The 20,854-nt window shown below is 52.2% G+C and overlaps 1 protein-coding gene across 24 annotated transcripts in view, besides 8 other annotated features; it reads right to left on the bottom strand.

The window, feature by feature from the left end:
- Window positions 1-20,854, bottom strand: part of CAMTA1 (calmodulin binding transcription activator 1) — a 984,253-nt gene that overhangs the window by 141,188 nt on the left and 822,211 nt on the right. The gene's annotated exons all lie outside the window — the stretch shown is intronic.
- Window positions 2,829-3,329: an enhancer, noted in NCBI's record as "H3K4me1 hESC enhancer chr1:7685250-7685750 (GRCh37/hg19 assembly coordinates)". NCBI's record gives its function as "activates a minimal SCP1, AML or CMV promoter by ChIP-STARR-seq in naive H9 embryonic stem cells {active_cell/tissue: H9 hESC(naive)}" and the evidence as "EXISTENCE:reporter gene assay evidence [ECO:0000049][PMID:30033119]".
- Window positions 12,064-12,264: a silencer, noted in NCBI's record as "peak37 fragment used in MPRA reporter construct". NCBI's record gives its function as "represses an SCP1 promoter by STARR-seq MPRAs in K562 erythroleukemia cells {active_cell/tissue: K562}" and the evidence as "EXISTENCE:reporter gene assay evidence [ECO:0000049][PMID:32103011]".
- Window positions 14,542-15,072: an enhancer, noted in NCBI's record as "H3K4me1 hESC enhancer chr1:7673507-7674037 (GRCh37/hg19 assembly coordinates)". NCBI's record gives its function as "activates a minimal SCP1, AML or CMV promoter by ChIP-STARR-seq in primed H9 embryonic stem cells {active_cell/tissue: H9 hESC(primed)}" and the evidence as "EXISTENCE:reporter gene assay evidence [ECO:0000049][PMID:30033119]".
- Window positions 15,073-15,604: an enhancer, noted in NCBI's record as "H3K4me1 hESC enhancer chr1:7672975-7673506 (GRCh37/hg19 assembly coordinates)". NCBI's record gives its function as "activates a minimal SCP1, AML or CMV promoter by ChIP-STARR-seq in primed H9 embryonic stem cells {active_cell/tissue: H9 hESC(primed)}" and the evidence as "EXISTENCE:reporter gene assay evidence [ECO:0000049][PMID:30033119]".
- Window positions 17,928-18,465: an enhancer, noted in NCBI's record as "H3K27ac-H3K4me1 hESC enhancer chr1:7670114-7670651 (GRCh37/hg19 assembly coordinates)". NCBI's record gives its function as "activates a minimal SCP1, AML or CMV promoter by ChIP-STARR-seq in naive H9 embryonic stem cells {active_cell/tissue: H9 hESC(naive)}" and the evidence as "EXISTENCE:reporter gene assay evidence [ECO:0000049][PMID:30033119]".
- Window positions 18,466-19,002: an enhancer, noted in NCBI's record as "H3K27ac-H3K4me1 hESC enhancer chr1:7669577-7670113 (GRCh37/hg19 assembly coordinates)". NCBI's record gives its function as "activates a minimal SCP1, AML or CMV promoter by ChIP-STARR-seq in naive H9 embryonic stem cells {active_cell/tissue: H9 hESC(naive)}" and the evidence as "EXISTENCE:reporter gene assay evidence [ECO:0000049][PMID:30033119]".
- Window positions 19,003-19,540: an enhancer, noted in NCBI's record as "H3K27ac-H3K4me1 hESC enhancer chr1:7669039-7669576 (GRCh37/hg19 assembly coordinates)". NCBI's record gives its function as "activates a minimal SCP1, AML or CMV promoter by ChIP-STARR-seq in primed H9 embryonic stem cells {active_cell/tissue: H9 hESC(primed)}" and the evidence as "EXISTENCE:reporter gene assay evidence [ECO:0000049][PMID:30033119]".
- Window positions 19,541-20,077: an enhancer, noted in NCBI's record as "H3K27ac-H3K4me1 hESC enhancer chr1:7668502-7669038 (GRCh37/hg19 assembly coordinates)". NCBI's record gives its function as "activates a minimal SCP1, AML or CMV promoter by ChIP-STARR-seq in primed H9 embryonic stem cells {active_cell/tissue: H9 hESC(primed)}" and the evidence as "EXISTENCE:reporter gene assay evidence [ECO:0000049][PMID:30033119]".

The raw sequence follows: 20,854 nt of genomic DNA, 5'->3' as shown, positions 1-20,854 counted from the left end.
ATCTGCTCACGGCCACGTGGCTCATGGGAGGCTGAGCTGGACACAACTCTGGTGCACTAGCTCTTTTGATAAGAGTTTCCAAGTTTTCTTTAGCAATCCAGCCACCTCTCCAACTCAGTCCAGGGGTGGAGCTTGTCACTCAGGCTGGCCAAGCCGCATTCTTTGGGCCACATCGACTGGCTCAGAGAGAGACCCATGGCTCCACCAGAGCCAATCAGTGCTAATCACTAGGCTTTGGTTGGAGTCACTTGGAGGCAGGGGTGCTCTTTCCTGCTGAACTCGAACCTGGGAGAATGAAATCTAGTGCTCCTGGAAGCCATCTCTTGCCAGCACATGGAGAAGGAGAAGGGAGCTGGTGCGAGGAGCAGGGCTGAGGGGAGAAGACACAAAGCCTCGATGCAACTGATGGAACACAGGCCAGCACATCTCAAGACTTTTCAGCAACTCCAGCCCCCAAATCTCTTCCTCCCCCAAAGTCAGTTCAAGTCGAGTTTTTTGTTGCATCGCCCATGAGCCTTAGTTCCTAAAAAATGATCACATCTTCTTTCGGCTAAGCCGGTCACTCTTTCCACCACACAATTCAGATGACCCTCTGGTGTCAATAACCCCCACCGCTATGATTGCTGAGAACTAGCATTTCTTCAGACCTGTATGCTCCAGGTGCTGAGTGCTAACTACTTCCCGGGACTTAGCTTGTTTAATCCTCACTACAACCTCACAAGGTAGAACTGGTTATGGCCCCATCTGCTTTACACATAAAGAATCTAAAACGTAAGGAATTAAGTAGTCCATCAAAGCCCTGCCCATTAAGCCCAGGTCTATCTGATGCTGAGGAAGCAGAGTGGTAGAGAGTGTGTGCTCCAGAGACAACTGCCTTAGGTTCGAGTCTGGGTTCTGCTACCTCCTAGCTGTGAGCTTTGGGCAATCACATCTCTGTGCCTTAGTTTTCTCATCCATACAATGGAGAGAACAGTAGTGCCTGCTCCCTGAGGTAGTTGTGAAGACTAAACAAGATACAGCATTTGAACAGTGCCCGAGGCATGGGAAACCTTCAGAAGGGCCAGGTATTATTCTGACTGACCTCTCTAACCAGTGTTATGTCATCTCACACTATTGCTAAGGACAAAGTTTCCCTAGGATCGTATGGAACTTCCATGTGGAGCAACATCAAATTAATTCAGATATTGCTTATTTGGGAAGCGTGATTCTTTGAGATAGGAGCCCATCTAGGTAAAGTTAAATTCTTTTCAAACATCGAGGAAGCATCATGATCTCCAACAGACGATGAGCTAAACACCAGCCATTCTTGTCCAAACATAAAAACAGGATCTCTGAGACAATTCTTGGTTATCTTCCAAACTCTGGAAGAAAACAAAGCTCCATTTTCCCGAAAAATATCCCATAACTCTCCATGAATTAAAGAGACAGACACCCCATCCACATCCTGCCACATTGGATAGGTAGGAGTCCCTTGGGCCAATGGGATCACTTCTAGTCCTCATCCAGATGATACAGGCATCAAGTGACCTGCAAGCCCTTGAGGAGCTCCAGTGCCTCCAGCCCCTTCTCTAGTAAGCACTGTCCTCTTCCTGGATGCTTTATGTATTTTAATTTGTGCATGAAAGATCCTCCAGGGTCCTGCAAGTCAGGGGTCTCCTAAACCCTTCTGTTTACTCCTCTTGGAACAGAGAGTAGTGAAGGTGGGAGGAAACTTAGGGATTGTCCAGGCCAACTTATCAACCCCCTTCCATCTCCAATTGGGAAAACTGAAGCAAGAGAGACTCTGAGTTGAACGTCACGCAGCAGACAGGTAGAGAGTGAGGACAGGGAGCTGCACCCGACCCCCACCCTCTGCTGTCTCTCAGCTTTGCCTCTTCCTGATGTTCAGAACCTTCTGAAGCAAATGATTACACCTCCCTCGCTTTGCAGAGAGAATTTGCAGAAAAGCAGAGCTGGTTGCTGTTCACCACAAGTGGCATTCAGAACAAGGCTGCTTCCCGGCCAGCAAACTTCTTCACAACCTTGACTATGAGTAGGGTCCCGAGATGTTTGGTGGGCTTTCTGTTTAGTGTCTTCCTGGTGGTAGTGATGGCAGGGCAGGTGATCCAAGCAGGGAAATCTGGGAGGTTGGGATGGGGCCACCCTTCCTCTGCTCTGGAGGAGCACCTGGGGAGCCCCTGCACTCAATCCTGTTAAAGACCTAAACCCCAAAGCTCTCCCTTGACTGACAAATGGGCTGGCCGTGGAGGCAGCAGAGGATGAATTGTGCCCGGTCCATCAAGCATCTACAGGATTTTTATGCTCTGGCATCTGTAATGGTGAGATTCCAGCAATTGTTTTAGAGGGAATCATGATTAAATTGGGCTGTATGTTTTTTTAATGTGTTCCCCAGTTCCTCTTTAATACCTTGGTAGGACAAGATAACGTGTAATCACTGAAGTAATTGTGGCTCTCAACAGTTTATGTCTTGAAGGAGTGACTGGGGGTTAACAAAGCCACTGCAGGGCAAGGTTTGGATTAGAAAATACAGTTTTTCTTTTTGTTATTTTCTTTTTAAATCCTTCTTTATCTTCTTCCTTTCTCCAGTGGCTCCTGGAGCTCGCTGATAACCTGTAAGCCTCCTCGGGTAATAACGGGACCTGCTATACTAATGACATAGGCAAGTCTGGGGCCGGCCCCTCTGCAGAGCTGCTGCAGCAGGCCAGGCCCTTCCCAGAGCACATGCCTTTGCAGGAAGCGCCAACTGGTCCCCCAGACCAGTGGGGCTCGACATCCTGAATACCAACGCCCATCCAGACCCCATCTTCATCGCCACATCCTGAAGTCGCTGGCTGGAGCCAAGCAGTGAGGCTGCCCTATGCCAGCCCATTGCGAATGGCAGAGGAGAGCAAGCTCGTGAACCCCGACACTGCCTCAAACTGTCCCTCTCCTGGCAGATGCTGAAGACAACGGTGGGGTGGGCATCTGTGCTAGCAGGGAGCTGGCAACCCCACTCACTCCTCTTCAGATGATGCGACAGAACGGCCTGGCTTCATCCAGCTTCCTCAGGGCAGGGGCAACTCTAAGCATCCTGCTTAGAGGCCAAGACCCTGTCAGCCCGATGGGGGCAGAATCAGGCCACAGAGCAGTCCTGCCACTGTGACTCCATGGCCACCAAGTCTGAGGCGCTGCTAATGCCAGCAGAGCTGAAGGAGGGGAGAGACGGGCAGGCATCCTGCTTTCCTCTTGGCCCTTGAGGCCACCGCCCCAGTCTCCCCTCACTGCCTTCCCCATGCTCCTTGGCATCAGCCTCCTGACTGGTCTGCCTTTGAGCCAGGCACTCCCATCCAACTCTCAGAGCCATCTTCCCAAGTCCCAGCTCTGATGACGTCACCCACTGCTAACCTTTCCTGGCTCCCCATTTCCTGTGAATGCAACCCCACTCCTGATCCCAATGGCCTCCATGATCGGCTGGATCCACCTCCCATGCACCCTTCTCACCCCTCTTGGCTCAGTCAACCAGACCATTCAGCCTGCTCTGCCACTGGCCCTGCCCACGCTGTTCCCAAGGCCTGGAATCTCTCCACATTCCACCTACTTGTCAAGACCCAGATCCAACGTCACACTGTCCTTCCAGCCTCCCTTTATCCTTCCAACCAAAATAATTTCATTCCCTTTGGGACTCCCCTGACAGTCCTCTGTGTCTCTCCTGCAGCATCAGCCAGCCTCACTCTTTCCACTGATCTTCAGGCTGGCTGGCACCTCCATTCCCTCTCTGGACCCCAGACTTCCTGAGAGCAGAGTGTGCATCAGAAGGAAATGTATTCCCTGATAGGCAGTCAGCAAGTGTTGGTTGAATCAGTGGTGGGTTGACTGCATCTGAATGGGGACACTCATCCTGGATCGGTCACTAGAGACAGCCCCTGTGCTGGGGGCTGTGCCAGTCGGTGGCCAGCACACCCACCACCCACCCATCACCCTCTCCCTTCATCTCTTCCACCTTCACCAAGGCAGAGTGAAGGACATGGCAAGGGCCTTTCTGGGTACTTCTGCATGCGAATTTACTGGAGTCTTCATTTTAACCCAGTTTCTCTGTTTCCACCTGTGGGAGCAGTGGTATACCAGGATGATTTGTTCCAACCAACCACTCATACACAAATCCCTACTCCCCATCTTGGCCCTTGGAATTCTGCACTGGAACCATGGCGGATGGCACTCTTTCCCACTAAGCTCAGATGGGGTCCCAGAAATCGCATAGGCAGGGTTCTGCGTTGTCATCACCAATTGATCACAGCTGGTGTGGGAGACAAACTGTGGTCCTCATCTCTGCACAGGCGCAAGGCAACCCCTTAGCGGGGAGACCCACAGCACTCGCTCCCTGTTTGTTTTTAGGTCTTACCACGGCTGCCTTGAAGCTGAGAAAACAGAAGCTGGGCTGAGGGCCTTGGCACCAGCCCAGGGTAACTGGGACACCCATGTTTGCAAAGAAAGCATTTGTGAAGTGTGAAGAAATCAGAACAGCACCGTTCAAAAACTGTGTTTAAATTTCACTCAAAATGTTCTATTTTGCGTCGAGGATAGAGTCCCCTTGGAAAAAACACTTTCTGGCATTTGGAAACCACTGTTGCTATGGAGCTGTTAAGAGATGTTAGCTACCAGGGGACAGCAATTAATTGCGGTGGCTGCAGGTAAATCAAGCCAGCAGCTCCTTTGGAGGAAGCTGATGGGAAAGGGGATCTAAAAGGCAATGTTGAAAAAGAGCTTCTGTAATCCCAGCACCTCGGGAGGCCGAGGCGGGCGGAACACCTGAGGTCAGGAGTTTGAGACCAGCCTGGCCAACATGGTGAAATCCCATCTCTCCTGAAAATACAGAATTAGCTGGGTGTGGTGGCGCATGCCTGTAGTCCCAGCTACTTGGGGGGCTGAGGCAGGAGAATCCCTTGAACCCAGGAGGCAGAGGTTGCAGTCAAATTTCCAACTGAGGGTTTCAGATGCTTGAGGGCGAGGTGCCTTCTTAGTGACTTCTTTGTGTTTCCTTCATTTCTAGGAGAAAGGACTCAGTGTGTGGAGCTGATGGGAAGTCAGGCTTTCCCTTCAGTTAACCTGAAATGACTGGGGTCCCAGCTCACCCACTCTCCTGCAGGTAGCTCTGAGGTGGGATTCTCAGCCTTTTAGAGGAACAGCTGCCTCTTCTATAGAGTAGGGGTAACTGTGGCACTTGCTTTGCAGGGTGTTCATTAATTCCCTCATTCATTCATTCATTCATTCATTCAACAGATTAGCTCTCAAGAACCACAAGATACCAGGGACTGGCCTACATTTGGGGTCTACTGTGACCAAGTCTAAGACTCTGCCCTCAAAGAGCATGGAAGAGACGAGCTATAAACATTGGAATAAAGAATAAGGTGGTTCTGGATGGCATGAAGTGGTATGAGCATAAAAAATGGGGGTGGGTGGAGAATTTAGCCAGCGAGCTTGAGAAGGCCTCTGAGGATGGAACCTTCAGCTGTATCTGAGATGATAAAAAGAAGCCAGCTGTGGGGAGCTCTGGGAGAGGAAAGGATTCAGGCACAGGGAATAGGGACGAAGACCTCAGGACAGACTCGGGCTCACAGGGAGCATTCAGGAAAACAGCCGTGAAACAAGAAAGCACAGAGGTTCAGTCTGGAAAGCCAAGGACAATGGCCTGTGAGGGCCGAGTTCCATGATGGCGGCTCCACATCTGTCTGGCTTGCTAAGCCTTGAGCCTGGCATCTGGCCCAGAGCTGGGCTTGGAAAATATTTGTTGAATAAATGAAATGGTTCAGGAACGCTTTAATGTTGAATAAGCCTCCACATGGAACAGAAGATTCAATCTCTTAACAGAAGAAAAACCTCAGCATTTTGAGATCACCAGGATAGGCTCATGCTGGTGGCCAAGATCAAATACTCACAGGGAGAAACCCATTAGGGAGAAAGTTGTCAAAGTTCAGGTGGTGGAAGGCTTACTCCGAAAGAACGCTCTGTTTTGCTGGTTATTTGTTAAAGAAAGGAGTCAATGATGGGTTATAATGAAGTCAGCTGTTTTCAATAGCGGATACTAACTTTGGAATTCAAATAAGATAGAAAGAATACACCAATCTGTTATCTTGCCTGCAGCCAGATGATGGAAAGAACTTGGATGTGGAGTGGAATCACACATCCAAGTGGAAGTTAGATCAAATTTCACCTTGGCCACTTCAAACGCTGTGTGATCTTGGGCAAGTTACTTAACCCCTCTTGGCCTTGTATCCCTCCCAGGTAAAATGGGGATCCTCCCATCTACCTGAGGATATCAAAAGCCATTGAGAGGATTAAGGGAAGTGTAATGGAGGGCACCCAACAAGTTCCCAGCCATGAGTAGCCGCTCAGTCACTGATAATGAGTTAACGAGCAAAACCAATCTCCGCTTCCTCCTCCTCCCCCCATACCTCCAGGGTCATGAACAGAAAGAACAAGGTCACTGTTTTGGTTTTTGGTTTCTGTCTTTGGAGGTGACTAACTCCCGATCTGACAGTTGTTTCTGCAGAACCAAAGACTTGACGGGATTGCAAGGTCACACGAGGTCACCCAGAGAAGACGCCTCACTATCTTTAGCATATTCGTTCTCTCTAGAGGCGCCAGGGAGCCGAGACGTGGCCGAGCTGAGCTGGTGCCAGGAATTTTGCAACAAACCATGGTCAAGTAAAAACCAAAGTGACCTTCTTGGAAGCAATGGTCCCAGGGCCAGGCTGTGTTGCTGGCACCCCCGACCTGCTCGGGATTGCACAGACGTCTCCATCCCTCTTCCAGGAAACTTCCAGAAGGGCGAGCACTGCACCTGGCACCTCACCAGCCCCCTTGTTATAACTTTCCTTGCGATTTAAGTACACTCCCAATGACACAGAGTGTTGGGCTGCCACTGCTGGGCAGAGGCACCTGACAGGAAATTAATTTCTTAGTTTCTTATTAACTTTGAGGGGAGTACCTCTACCGAGCTGCACTGCCAGGACAAGGTGCACCAGGGCTTCCAGGAATTTGAATATCAGAGGTCAGCACCGAGGCACGATGCTCAGACTCTCCCGTCACTGTCTCCAGTTGGCGCCTGGCTTAGCAAATGTCTCAGGAGCCAAGGGGAAATTCCTGGCATCCCAGACCACAGCCCCTGTTGAAAATTCTGCTGACATAGCCAGGTGACGGTGACAACGTATTCTGGCTGTGGCCTGTCACTGTGAAATAAAAGGGCTCAGGGGCTCTCCAGCACCCACCATGGGGGGTCCTCCCAGAGCCCTTGGCTCTCTTGGGCCAGTGGCCCCTCTTCTGTGGCAGCCTCCCTCTAGTTGCCCCTATGAGAGGACCTCTTTTCCTGGCTGGACCCCTGCCTGCTCCCTCCAGTTCACCAGCCCCTAATCAGGGTGCAATGCCTCTCAAGGTCCTGGCCTTTTCTCCACTGTTGGGCCCTGCTCTTCCCAGCATTGGACGGAACATTGATGGATTACTCCCCTGACCCTACGGCCTTTCCCTCGCACTCTCTTTCTCTCTCCTGCTTCCACCTGCTCTGGCCCCATGCATCCTGCACCTGTCCTCAGGGCTGCCTCCTCCAACACCTCCTCCCTGCTTCTCTTGTCAAAGGACCTTCTGGCTTGGTCTGAACTGTCAGGTTCAATTTCTCGAGCTAAACCTTTGAATCTGGCTGACCCACTCTTGAATGGTCTTTGTTCCCCAGCTAAGAACCAGCTGATCTCAGCCCCGGCCAAAATTTGCCTCAGGGGACTTGCCTGCCTCTAAATCATAGCTTCTCTACTCAGTCCCAGACCTCTCCTCCAACTCCATCTCTCCTCCCTCCTTCTAACCCACATTTATGAGGTACCTGCTCTGTGAGTGCTGGGCGGATACAGACATGGTGGAACTGGGCCCTGCTCTCCAAATGCTGACAGCCTCCCAGTAAGATACTCGTGCAGAACAAGGCAGCATAGAATATATTCTCTCTCTCTCTTTTTCTTTGTTTTGCCAGAGGTAAAGGAAAGTTCTGTGAGAGAAGGGAAGGAGGGGTGAAGACCAGTTCTGTGTTCTCCAGCTTCCAGTCACATCTCATTGGTAAGCCACCTCCTCTCTCCCTTTCCCAGGGGGCAAAGCATCATGGGAGTATCCTGGATGAAAGCCAGGCTTCCATGAGGTTTCTCAGCCTCACAACTGTAGACACTTGGGGCTGTATAACTCTTTGTTGTGGGGCTGTGCCGTGCAATAGAGGATGCTCAGCAGCACATCTGGCCTCCACGACTAAATTACTCGAAGGGTGATGACAAAAAATTGTCTTCAGACATTGCCAAATGTCCTTGGGGAGTAAAATCACCCCTGTTTGAGAATCACTGGGCTCCACAGTGGCCCCACGTTCCACTCACTCTCCTGGTACCACGATGTTCAACTTTCAAGACTCCAGCAAGGATGGAGAAGAGTGAGCCTGTCCTTAGAGGGAACTTCAAAGGCCTGGGTCTAGTTCTGGTCTATTCTGGGAGGGCCCATTTTCTTGTTACTTTTGCTTGTGTACATATACATTGCTTTGAATGTGTGCAACATTTAATGACAGCATCACATACATTGTCTGCACAGCATTTATTCCCCATCAAAATTCATTTCTCCCGAGGCAGGCGGATCACTTGAGCCCAGGAGTTCAAGACCAGCCTGGCCATCATGGTGAAACTCCGTCTCTACTAAAAATACAAAAATTAGTTGGGTGTGGTTGCACTTGCCTATAATCCCAGCTACTCAGGAGGCTGGGGCACGAGAATCGCTTGAACCCAGGAGGCGGAGGTTGCAGTGAGCTGAGATCATGCCACTGCACTCCAGCCTTGGTGACAGAGTGAGACTCCATCTCAAAAAAAAAAAAAAATCAATTTCTCCTCAATTTTGTCATTGTGTGTGTTTGGCAGGGGGCAGTGGCGAGTGAATCTCATTGGCCAATTATTCTCCCATCTTCCTCATAAGGGAATATTTAGGAATGGGTATGTGACCCAATTCTGGCTCATGAGGTAAGAGAAGTGTGAAGGTTTCCAGGAGAGGGTTTTTCACTGGTAGGAGCTGCAGAACATCCCACTCTTCTTCCTTGTGACACCTGCTATGTGTCATGTGAACCTGGACTGCAGTCACCTGGCTCCCAGGAGGCACACGAAGCCAGCACTCAAGATGGCAGAGTTGGCTGGTGACATGGCTGAACCCCTGAATAGGCTGACCCTGCAGTTCGCACTCTCTCTGGCTTTCCGCGTAGGTGATAGAATACATTCTGCATTGCTTAGGCCAATTTGAGTTGGGGTTTGTCTCCCTAGGGGCAGGAATAGCTTGCCATGGCATGGCTCCGTGGTGATGGTAGATGGCAGGTGGAGAGAAGTTGGACTGTGGTTTTCCTCCTATGGACTGGGTCTCATACTTTCCTCTTCATGCTTTCCCTCTCTCACATTGGGTGAACTGTGAAGCCTGTTGACTAGGGGGAAGCCACACAGCCTCAGCTGCCTCCCTGGCCCTGGCCTCCTTAAAATTTCTGTTTGAGATGCAAATTTTTTGGTCAAATGTGAATAAATCCCTTATTTCCCTTCCCTATGTCTAATTTGGGATCAGGATAAGAGACAAGAATAAAGCATTTCTGGATTAAAAAAAAAAGGATGGCTCTACATTGAAATCCAAATGACATAACAGCCTTCAAACTGGCATTTGCAATTGGGCTGAGTTAACCTAATTCAATATCAAAGGAACAGGGAAGTTTTTAATTATCTCATTCTCATAATGGGAGAAGAAACTGGTTCCATGGGAGGTAAACACCCTAAGCCACAAGGTTTTCATGTAAATTACAATGCTCAACTTGAGCTGACAAGGAGAGGGGATGTTTCTTCCTGTTTGATAGCCTTCCCTGATGTGTGGCCTTTTACTATAGTCATAAAAAGACAGTAAATTAAGAAGGCACTGTAAAATATCATCGGAACCGGCCCAAGGAGCCAAATTTCCAGCCAAAGCCTTGAAAACGAGGGAGACGATAAACAGTACAGAGTCAGTCTTTGGGGCAGAGGCCCCAAGCCAGGGAGAAAGCTGACGTCTTTTCCAAAGGTGCAGAGTTGAGAGCCTGGAGCCGCACACAAAGCAGGATAAAGAGGAGTGGGCATAGAATTGGGAAAAGAGGGCCTCCCGATCCTAGAAAGTGGTTCTCCTGGGTGGGGAGCTGCTGAGGCTTGGCACAGGGTGGAATCTGGTCTGGCTTGGGAGGTGATATAGGCTGAGATGCCATCTCTCCACTGACCACTCAGCTAACACCTTCTTGAGTTACAGGCACTAGAGATATGGAGATGGAAGAAGAGAGAGTCAGTGTCCTCAGGGTCGAGGTGAAGAAGACAGATGATGTGCCAGTGTGATGTGATCAAGGCCAGCCAAAATGACAACATGGGATGAAGGTATGATGATGGCCCCCAAGGAACCTGCCCAGGCTGCTGTGGGAGCACCACATCTTAGAAGCAGACTCAAGTCCATCTGGGTAATTCAGGAGCTCCCACTGTGTGCATGGTACAGGGGTGACTTCTTGTCCAGAGCATGCTAAGAACTAATGTCGATCTGTGCCAGGCCTTGGGCTGCAGGCTTTGAGTAGCTTCCTGTGTTGAATTCTCCTAAGAACCTTATTGTGATCAGCCCCACCTTAGAGCTGAGGAAATGGGCTCTTGGAAGTTGGGGACCCCGATTCTCCATTCACTGGACTATTTCACAATCAAGAAGATCGGGGACCCAAGAGCAAATTCCTCTGAGGAACAGGAATCCTGGTCCTCTGGAAATAGTACCTTAGACCTTATGTGTATGCATGGGGGTGGGGGGGTGGGTGTGCATGACCAAAGTCCTTCAGGTGACCCTACCATTGAGACATCTGGCACCCCTGCTGTGTCCTTTCCTGGGTGTCTAAGTGTCTGCTTAGCAGGGAAAGGGGCTGCTCTGAGATTGAGGACCTCATCAGCTTTGAGGCCTTATTTGCTTTGCTGATATGCTGGCCCTAGAGCCTGAGGGTAGAGGACTCAAATTCTCCTGGGAATTTCCCCAAGCTCCTGAAGTCTTCCAATCCTTCCCTTGGTTCCAGGAAGAATTGCCTCGAGCCATTTCAGGCAGAGGGTTGTCTATACTTTCAAAGTTTTCGAAGGAGTGGATGAACCCTGAAGTCCTCCTCCGGTCTCAGCTGGTTCTCTGCTGCTACACTTTTGTGCTCTGTCATCTCTTCCCCCGCTGAGCTGGAGAGAGAATGTGGCAGCAGAGCCCTCCTGATATTTAAAGACAGGACTGAGAGACTCCTCAGCCACGACCATGTGTGTCAGTCATCTTGATTCTGGGACACTGCACAGCCACAGCAGCCGCTTGGCTGGAAGTGAAGGTCAAGGCCACCAGGCATCCCGTGGCCGAACCTGGCTCCTTCTCTTGGCTCCCAGCAGTCTCATTTCCCCCGCGGGAAGGGCTATTTATAGAACAGAAAGAGCAGTTGCAGCCACACTTTACCCCACGAGCTCAACCCTCTGTGCCTTAGAGGGAAAACTTCCCTGCGGGTGACACCTGTGCACTGGCAAGACTTACTTGGGAGACAGATTTATAATAAACAGCCTTATTTTATAGAGCCCCAAATATTTGCACAAAAATGAGCCCTTGGTATAACTTGCTCCATTTATCTCCCTGCTGTCATAGGGTATATCTCTCTGTTTTATTACTTTATTTGCCAGTTCCTCCAGCTTCTGCGCTCACCCCTCCTCTTCATTTCCACTGCAGTTGTCACTCTGGTGGGGGGGCCCCGTCTCTCCTCCCTGTCACGCTTCTCCCTCTGCCTGCTAGTGTTCCATTCCCTCCAGCTCACACAGGGGACTTGGCCTCCCTAGGGTCCCCCTCCATTCCCCCTCAGGATTCTAGGGAGCAGCAGGAATGTGTCCCTGGGGAAGGACCCTCTTCCAAATGCCCCCCAGTCACCCCCGAGGCCCGGCTTCCTTTTCAGCACTCTGGACAGCGCTCCTGGAGGCTGTTGCTTTAAGAGACTTGGCCTTCGCCTTGCAGTCCTGGGCTGACCGGTTCGGAGGCATTTAGGATGCCTCCCTGCCTCATCTCTTAGCATTTCTAACAGTATAAGGTAAACCCTGAGTGGTTTCTTAACCTCCACGACTACCCAAGACGTGGGCTCAAGAACAGAGTGAGCAGCGTATGAAAAAAAGAAGTGATTTTAATTTCAAAGTTCTGCTGACATTCATCAAGTGCTCTCAAGGTTTACATAAACAGAACGCCCTGCTTGAAATATCACTTTGAATTCCGTTTGTGCAATGGCACCTCTAATAGGCTGCTGTTTTGGTTTCTCTCAGCAATGTGAGCCTTTGTGTTTTAATATTCAGAGGCACAAGGAACAGGAAAATTATAGCTGGGGAAGCCCAGGCTGGGTTCTTCATCATCCAAGTTAAATTTGGCTGAATGGAGGAAAAACATCCTTTTAAAAGGGTGGTAAATGGGAATAATAATCTCTTACATTTACAAAACACTGAGTATTTTCAAAGCTCTCTCATATTCATTATCTTGTTAGGTTTTCACAGAAATCCTGTATAAAACATTCCACAAAGAGCTATTGTAGGTGCTGGATGTGAATGGCAGGCCTGAGGAGGCCTTCTCAGCAAATGGAGAAACTGAGGCTGGGGGAGGGTGAGTGACTGGCTTAAGGTCACTCCATGGTGGCCAAGCCAGGGAGAGCTGGCCAAAGCCAGGAGGTGGCCATGCCAGCCATCCGTCTTGCAGGCTGCCTCCTCCCTGGTACCTCCCCCATGGCCCCAAAGTGACCTTTGTCTCTTCTCTCATGGAACACACATCCTCCAAACGAAGTGGCCACAAAACCCCCTCACCTGGACTTCTACCCTTGTAGGAGAATTAAAGCCCAAAGCAAAAAGAGAGAATCTGTACAAGTGGCAACAGTCTTCATCTGCTGAGCATTGGCTTTGCATCAAGAAGCGTGCTGTACCCTTGACATGCACTATTTCATTTGACCCTCTTAACAGCTCCGGGAATGCTTTTAGTCCCATTTTATGGCCAAGAAAACTGATGTTCAGAAGATTCGAGCTAATCAGTGTCACAGCTGCAGCCACACTCAAGCAGCCTGCTCCAAAGCCCGAGCTGCCTGTCACTATGCCATATATATACTTCCTGTTTGTCTCCAAGGACAGTTTTTAGCATCAGTTGGAGGGAGGGACTGGTGGGGTATGAGGCCTGCATTGCCCTTCTTGCCAGCGGCTAGGTTCTTTGCCTCCTGTAGGCTGCTGCTAGGATGGGGACCACAGCACTGTGGGTTCTGACATCGCAGGTCCTAAGGCTGCCCCTCTGCCTGGCACTGACCTTGCCCTTTAAGATGGAAGTCACCAGACTGCAACTGATGCATGGCCAGGGCATTCGTGCAACATTCCAATCACTTCAGCAAACACGTCGTATGGATGAATACACACATGAACGAATGAGTGAATGAATGAAGGAAGGGAAGAGAAAAAGGGTCTCTTTGTAGGTGTGTGGAGTGGGGCTCTGCAGCAGGAAGAAGCAGCGGTTGGGAAATGTAACACCTGCTGTGGCTCAAAGCCCTGGTTCTGAACAGGAGACCCCTGTACCCTCCCCCCAGCAGTATCTGATGGGCAAGGGCCCTGATGGAGGTTAAGTGGATGCAGATGGAGCCAGGGCTTTCAGGGGTCAAGGTGAGTGAGGAGGACAGGAGCCTCGGGAGGTGGGAGCAGCGGGGCTGGGGGCCCATCAGATGAGCCTGATTTGATGTTCACAGTCTAGCCTGGGCCAGGCAGGCTGATGGTGGATTGTCCCGGGCTGTCTCTGGGGGTGGTGTCATTTATAGGTTCTCGAAATTTGTTACTGTTGATAACAGTGACGAGCCATAAACATTCCCAAGTGAGGAATGTTAATAACGCGGGAGGCATTTTTTAAGTGGTGGCTTTGGGGAGCCTTCAGCGTGTCAGCGCCAATGGGGCGGTTGTTGTCACTGTCATATATCTGGGAAGTTATTCCGGGAAGGTCGCACGGTGACTTGATTGTCATTACGTACAAAATATTTCAATTTTCCAGAAGAGAGTCAGTTCTGGCATCAATGAATCTTCATCTCTTCTCCTTTTTATGTCTCCCTGTTTGTCTCTGGAATCTGGTTTTGTGTGAGCAGGAGATGGACATAAATAGGTGGCTGAGGCTAGAATGGGAAGCTCCACGCCAGAGCTCCAACAAGGGAGGGGATGGACACATAGGCCAGCTCAGGCTCTGGGAGGAGCCCCCTCTCAGCCGCCTTTGACCCCAACTCATCCATTGCAGCCAAACCTGACCTGGACTCAGCCTGAGCCTTCAGGCCTCGGGCCTTTGCTGACATCCTCATTTCTCCTGCCAAAATCTCCTCTCCTCCTACTCACCCCTCTGGGTCAGGCCTGCCCCCACCACCATCCCTCTCCTCCCACCCCTACCTCTGGGTTCCACCTCCCCAACCACCCATCGCTCCCCTCAGTGCTCTCCTCCCACCCACCCCTCTGGGTCAGGCCTGCCCTCCCCACCCATTGCTCTCCTCTCCTCACCCCTCCAGGTCTGACCTGCCCCCCCACCATCTCTCTCCTCCCACCTGACACTCTAGGTCCGGCCTGCCCCTCTCCACCATCGCTCTCCTCCCATCTGCCCCTCCAGGTCCTACTTGCTCCCCCGACTCCTCTGGGTCCAGCTTGCCCCAATACCCATCGCTCTGCTCCCACCCACCCCTCCAGGTCCCGCCTGCTCCCCCTACTCCTCCGGGTCCGGCCTGCCCCGCCCCCGCCATCGCTCTCCTCAGGCTGAGAGCCATGCAGTGTGTGATTCATCTGGCACTTCATCACGAGCTTTCCTGTGCCCCGGCTCCCATTCCCTGCTTGGCAATGGGACTTAAATCTTGTTCTATTTAACTTGTCCCCAATTTGTCACCACCTCCTTGTGGGCAAGGACCATGCCATAAACACTCCCGCAGGTCCTGGAGGGGGCTGGTTGCTGCCTCTGCGCCTCCGTGCATCTTTTCCCTGCAGCCTGGCTCAGCTCCAGGGATTGTCCAAAACCCAGCTCTGGCTTTACGGCCTGGGGGACCACCCAGGCCAGGCTGGGCCTCTCCTGTGTGCTCTGCACCAGTCCATGCCCACCACTCAGGACCCTCCTCCCTACTTGTCTGTCCATCTCACTCAGCACAGTGCTGGGCACACAGCTGGGCTTGAAAACGTAAGCAGATGAAAGGCAGGTGTCGGGAGGGGGTCAGTGAGGACTCTGGCTTTGCTCTATGTTCCAGTTCCAAGGCGACTTGCCAACTGTGTGGCCAAACACTCATCTACATCCCATCCCGGGGTTCCCATGGATTAGACACAATTTCTTCCTGCTCTTCTCTCCTGGTCCCTGCAATCCTTGGGTCATGGGTTTGGTGGGCACCTGCTGATGCCTGGGGTACGGATATAAAACTGCTAAGGTGAGCTACCTGTCTTTGGGAAACACACTCCCGGTTAAGACTGGTGCACATGGAAAGGTTCATGAAGAACACAGGCCCTTCTGGTGGCGAGGACCAACCCACAGGGTGATGGGGACTCCTGGGGAGCAGGCCCTCCAAGAGGAGGGAATTGAGGCCCAGAATCTGTTTCTGCAGAATCACTCCCACCGCCTTCCTCTCACCCAAACCTTTTTCTTTGAAATGCCCTCTTAACCTGCAAAGGGTGGTTTTGGCCCCAAGAGCCCCAGTGGGATGGCCTCAGCCATCTGTGTGCTGGCCTTGCTTAGAGCCCTGTCTCTGAGTGGTCCACAGTCTCCTGAAATGTCAGAATGGCTGTGCCTGGCAGCCATCACTCCATGCACACTGTGACCCCTGCCCTTCCGGCCCAGTGAGCTCGGAGTGGTGATACGGACAGGAGGCAAGGAAATACTGGGTAGAAGAGGGCAGTTCCCCAGCAAAGGCCCCGCCCTCAAGCCTGGAAACCTGCAGCCCTAAATGGGAACAGGCAATCCTGTTTCTGCGCCCAAATGTTGCCTTTTAGCCCACCGTGCCCTCCTATCCTGTACTCATATAAACCCCAAGCTCCAGGATCCACAGACAGATGAGCAGAGGGGCAGAAGAGTGGCACAGTGGCACGGCAGAGAAAGAGAAAAGAGAAGGAGTGTCTAAACGTCGAGAGGAGTTTGGCTGGGGATAGTTGGAGAGGAGATCAGCTTCAGGATGACCAAACTCCAGGGGAAAATCATCTTCCCACTCCATCCCTTGTCCAGCTCCCCATCCATCCTGCTGAGAGCCACCTCCACCACTCAATCAAATCCCCACATTCACCATCCTTCAAGTCCGTGTGACCTGATTCTTCTGGGATACCGGACAAGAAGCTGGGTACCAAGAGGGCAGGGTGTAAAAGGCTGTCATCCTGACTCTCCACTGAGCTGGTTTAACACTTAGCTGTCCGTGGATGGCAACTGCCAAAACAGCATTAATTGTAACACACCTCTAGATGCTACCATGGGGCCAGAGCCCAAAAGCACTTGCCCAGGCTCCTGCCCCTGCCCATCTCTGTGCACCCCCTCCCAGTGGGCGCATGGCAGCTGCCAAGAAAATGAGCCATACCCCGTTGCAAGTCTCTTGACGGGGTCAGGGAACTCTCCCATTTCAGTGGGTCAGGTCAGCACCTCTCAGGTCAAGACAGGGGGCTTGGCAAGGCACAGAGAAGCTCCAGGCGGTCCCCCAGCACTGGCCCCTGGGCAGAGGTGGGAGTGAGGGGCAGCCTGAAGCAGCAGCTGCCCCCACCTTACCCTGGCAGCGAGTGCAGGTGGGAAAGGCCGGCTGAGCCTGGGAGGTACAGTAAGGGTCTGATAGTAAGGCTGGAGAGAGCCTCCTGCTGCACACAGCTCTTGTCAGACTCTTGTTGGCAAGCTTGGCCCCCCAGCAGCCCAGGTGGCATGTTCCAACATCAGGCACCACTTGGCTCCTGCTCTCTCACACCCACCCGGGTCAGGCTCAGGCCCTCGGGCTAGAGGGAATCCTCTCCTTCCTGGTCCTCGCTCAAACCTGTTCCCAGCATCCTGCTCCTCTAACCTGGCCTCCTCCTGGACTCAGATACTTTGGTCCAAGCCCTTTGGCCAGAGGCCTAGGCTGTGCAGGGAAGGCAAGGGAGGCACTTGTCTTGGCCACAAAATTTAAGGGGGTGCCAGAAAACTCAGTAACGGAGATAATGTTTAGTGCAATATTCTAAAAAGTTGGAACTGTTGTGAAAAAAATCCACAATGAACAAAATATCAACGTGATAAATAAACACAGACTCAGCAGCCCCCCAGGCTGTGGGCCCTGGTCTCTTATCCCCAACTCTGCACCGAGAGCATGGACTAGGCCCGCACCATGGCCCAGCTCTCTTCTGCATGGCCCCGCGCCTTCCTCTCCACAGTCCCGGAGGTGGGTACTTTCACTCTGCCTGCTTTACAGAGGAGAAAATGGACACTTCGAGAGGCAAGGTGATTTGTCCAGGACTGCACAGGTTGCAAAGGGCAGAGCTAGGGGTCTCAGGCCTGGGCCTGCGTCTTGGCCACTTAGCTTCCCCTCTGCCTGGGGGCCTGGGACCTGGCCTCCCGTAGTTACCAGGACTGGGAAGCCCTGGCCTTTGCCCCTCATGCTGCTTTCTTGAGGTTCATCTGGTGCTCTGAGGCGCTATTTGACCTCCACTCTGTGCTGCTGCTGGGCCTGGCTGCACCATCAGGGCAAGGACCCATCCTTGCCTTAGGGGCTCCCAGGCCATTTAGGGAAGAAAGAAAAAGCCATAGGCCTTCCCAGCTGGGGCTGCATCTTGTTTCTAGGGAGGGGCAGAGGCCACTTCTGGTCTTGTGGCTCCACTCCCTCCCTTCCCTGGGGTCAGGGTTATGGATGGGCACCCCCCTGCAACTGTTGCTGACAGGCCTATAGGAGGGGCCACGGAGTCTGCCCCCAGTCACTTTTGAATGGCAGAACCAGGCTAGAACATTTGTGGCATTAGGGATTTAACCTGCTAGGCCACAGAGGAGAAACTGAGGCTGGGGGGAGGGTCACGGGGCTGATTGACTGTGGCTGGTCTTGTTTGGGATTGCATTCCTAGTGCTCAACACTAGGAATTCCCTTCATTTGACCCATGTTTATTAAGTGCAAGTTCAGTGCCAAGCACAATGTGCAGGAGCCAGGCAGGTCCTGGTGATGGAGCAGACTTGGCCTTTCCCTCAGGGAGCCACCGGTTTGGGGACACAGGGACAGAACAGGACCCAGATATCCCAGCTCTTCTCGCTGAGCCTTGCCTTTAATGTCTCTATGTGCTGAACAGGCTGTGTATGTATTTATGAGGTCATGTTTGGCTGCTGCCACTGCCATGTGAGCACATGTGAGCACGTGTGTGTGTGTGTTTTTGCACAACCCCTGGCTGGGCTGTGCCCTCCATGCTTCTCCGTTGCAGAATCTGGCAGAGAAACGTCCCTGAGAAGCAGCTCCCCCTTTGCAGGCTGCACAGCTCCCTCCTGTGAGTGCACACACAGTGTGGACAGACCCGGCAGGTGCTGTATTTCAGGTAAAGAGACTTGGAGACCCCACAGTTTACCCTCTCATTTCACAAATAAGAGAATGAAGACCAGGAGAGGTGAAGTAAGAGCAGTACATAATAATCCGAGCTTCCATGTTTGGACTCTACCCGGATGCCAGGAACCTCAGTTCCTGGCACTCACACGTGTTCACAGGTGCCCTGCGGGAGGGCAGTTCCCACCTGGCTTTGCAGACAGGAAAGAGAGGCTCAGAGAAGCAAAGTGACCTGCTCAAGGTCACACCACCTGTGGGTGGAAGAGATCTGGGGTCCAGGGGATCTGACTTGAGGCTGGAGCTCCAATGTCCTCAGCAAGGTCACCAGGACATGGGTGACAGCCAGGACCCTGCTCCCCTCCCCTTTTGTGCCATGGCCTGGCTGAGGCTGGCTCACTCCTGCAGGGCTGGACTGGAGCCTGAGAGAGGGGTGGCAGGCCCTGAGCATCCCTGGGGGCCTGGAGGCTGGGGCCAGGGCTTGCCTTCTGGCTGCTGCTCTGCTGCCCTCACTGAGGGGCTTTGATTTGCTGTTAACACCCAAAGTTGAGCAGAGCCTCATGAATCATTCATGAAGGTGCTCCAGCGAGATCATTATTTTGAGTGTTGAGTGTCAGGAAAACAGCGTCTGATGGGTAAACATGATGTCTGATGACAGAACAGCCGATGGGGTGACCCAGCAGCCGGGCACCTGCCATGCTGTGGGGAATTTTTAAACATTAAAAAAAAATCCAACCCAGGCTCAAGGATGAGCAAGCCGGCTCATCATAAACCCCTGTCTGTGGCTAGGAGGCCAGGAGGCAAGGCACAGGCGGCAGGGCTAGGCCGGTAGTGGGAAGGGGCCAGAATGTCCTGGGAGTTCAGACCCTGTCCTCTGGCAGGAAGTGACTCAGCACTGCCCCCACCCCTGCGGGGGGCCCAGCCTGCATCAGGAGACTCCTTTCCAATCCACAACGCAGGCCTCCTAGCCAGACAGCTCCTGCCCTCACTTCTGCTTAGAATTTCCCCATAGAATGTCCTTCTAGAAAAGGCCAGGTAGGGCTCAAGCTCCCATCCATTCATCTTGGACCATGCCAAGGGCCTGGCCCTTCTTGAAGAGCCCCTGTTCAGCCAGAGACTGGACCTGTGGCCGGCTGAGGCCCCTGGGGCCCTCCCACGCTTCTGGCTCTGTCGAAGCCACTTTCAAGCAGATGACAGATTGTCAATAACTTCACTACCTGCATTATTTAAGCAGAACAAGGTGAGCCTCTGCTGCACCCTTGAGCTCAGATCAAACTGATGGCCAGTGTGGAAGCTACAAGCAATCAGATTTTCTAAGGAGAAAGAGATGCCAAGGGGACAGACACAAGCCAAATGGGGCTCCTGCATGGCTCCTTCCCTGCCATCAGCCTCTCATGGAGCCCCAATCCCTTTCCCTGGGCTGGGGACAGTGAAACAGGCACTGGTGTTATGCAGTCCTGGGCCCCAGCTTCTTTCTCAGGCCTTTTTTGTCTCCTTTCAGGCCCTGGCTCTTAGTAGGGAAGGTGAGTGCTAAGGACATGTGCCTGCTCCAGAGGAGGGTTCCCTGGCCCTGAGCATTCCCCAGGAACTAGGCCTGGGAGGCTCTGCCCTGGCTCTGTCCAATTTGTCTCTGTAGGGGCTTCCTGGCAGCACCTCCTTGCCTCTCCCATCTACCACCTGCATGACCTTGGTCAGGTCTGGGCCTGCTTGACTGTCACATGCTTCCTGTCCTCTCTGCAGATCAGCTTCCTCAGGTCACCTGGGCAGCATCTGAGAGCTCAGTCAGAGGAGCGGGCAGGAGAGCCAAGGTCTGAAGCCAGGAGAGTGCACCCCTGCCATGGGTCAGCAGCTGCACTAGCAGAGCATGGGTCTCCTGCAGGGGCCAGAAAAATTGGCTCCTTGACCCAGTTGAGGACAGGGGCTCAGGAGGAACTATGGAGGCCAGAGATGGAAAGACCTCTGGGGTCTCCCTGCAACTAGCACAAGGACACCTTCTACTACACCTGACAGCTTCCTTTTCCTGACACTTCCAGGGACCATGACTTGCTCCCTTTCCACACAGTCTACTCCAACAAAAGCCAACTGGGGTCAGTAGAAAGTTCTTTCTTAGCCTGAGTCCAAATCTGCTTCTCTATAGAATCTACTATGATTTTGTTTTCTGGATCCACAGAAGATACGACTCCACTCTTTAAGATGTGACAGTCTTTCAAAGATTTGAGGAAAGATTCATGCCACTTTTCCATTCACACATTCATTCACTCAACAGTCCATCTGTCAACCCACCTACTCACCTATCCATTC

The sequence above is a fragment of the Homo sapiens genome, chromosome 1 (assembly GCF_000001405.40).
Source record: "Homo sapiens chromosome 1, GRCh38.p14 Primary Assembly".
In the NCBI taxonomy this organism is placed as follows: domain Eukaryota; kingdom Metazoa; phylum Chordata; class Mammalia; order Primates; family Hominidae; genus Homo; species Homo sapiens.
This window is presented reverse-complemented; position numbering and strand designations above follow the sequence as displayed.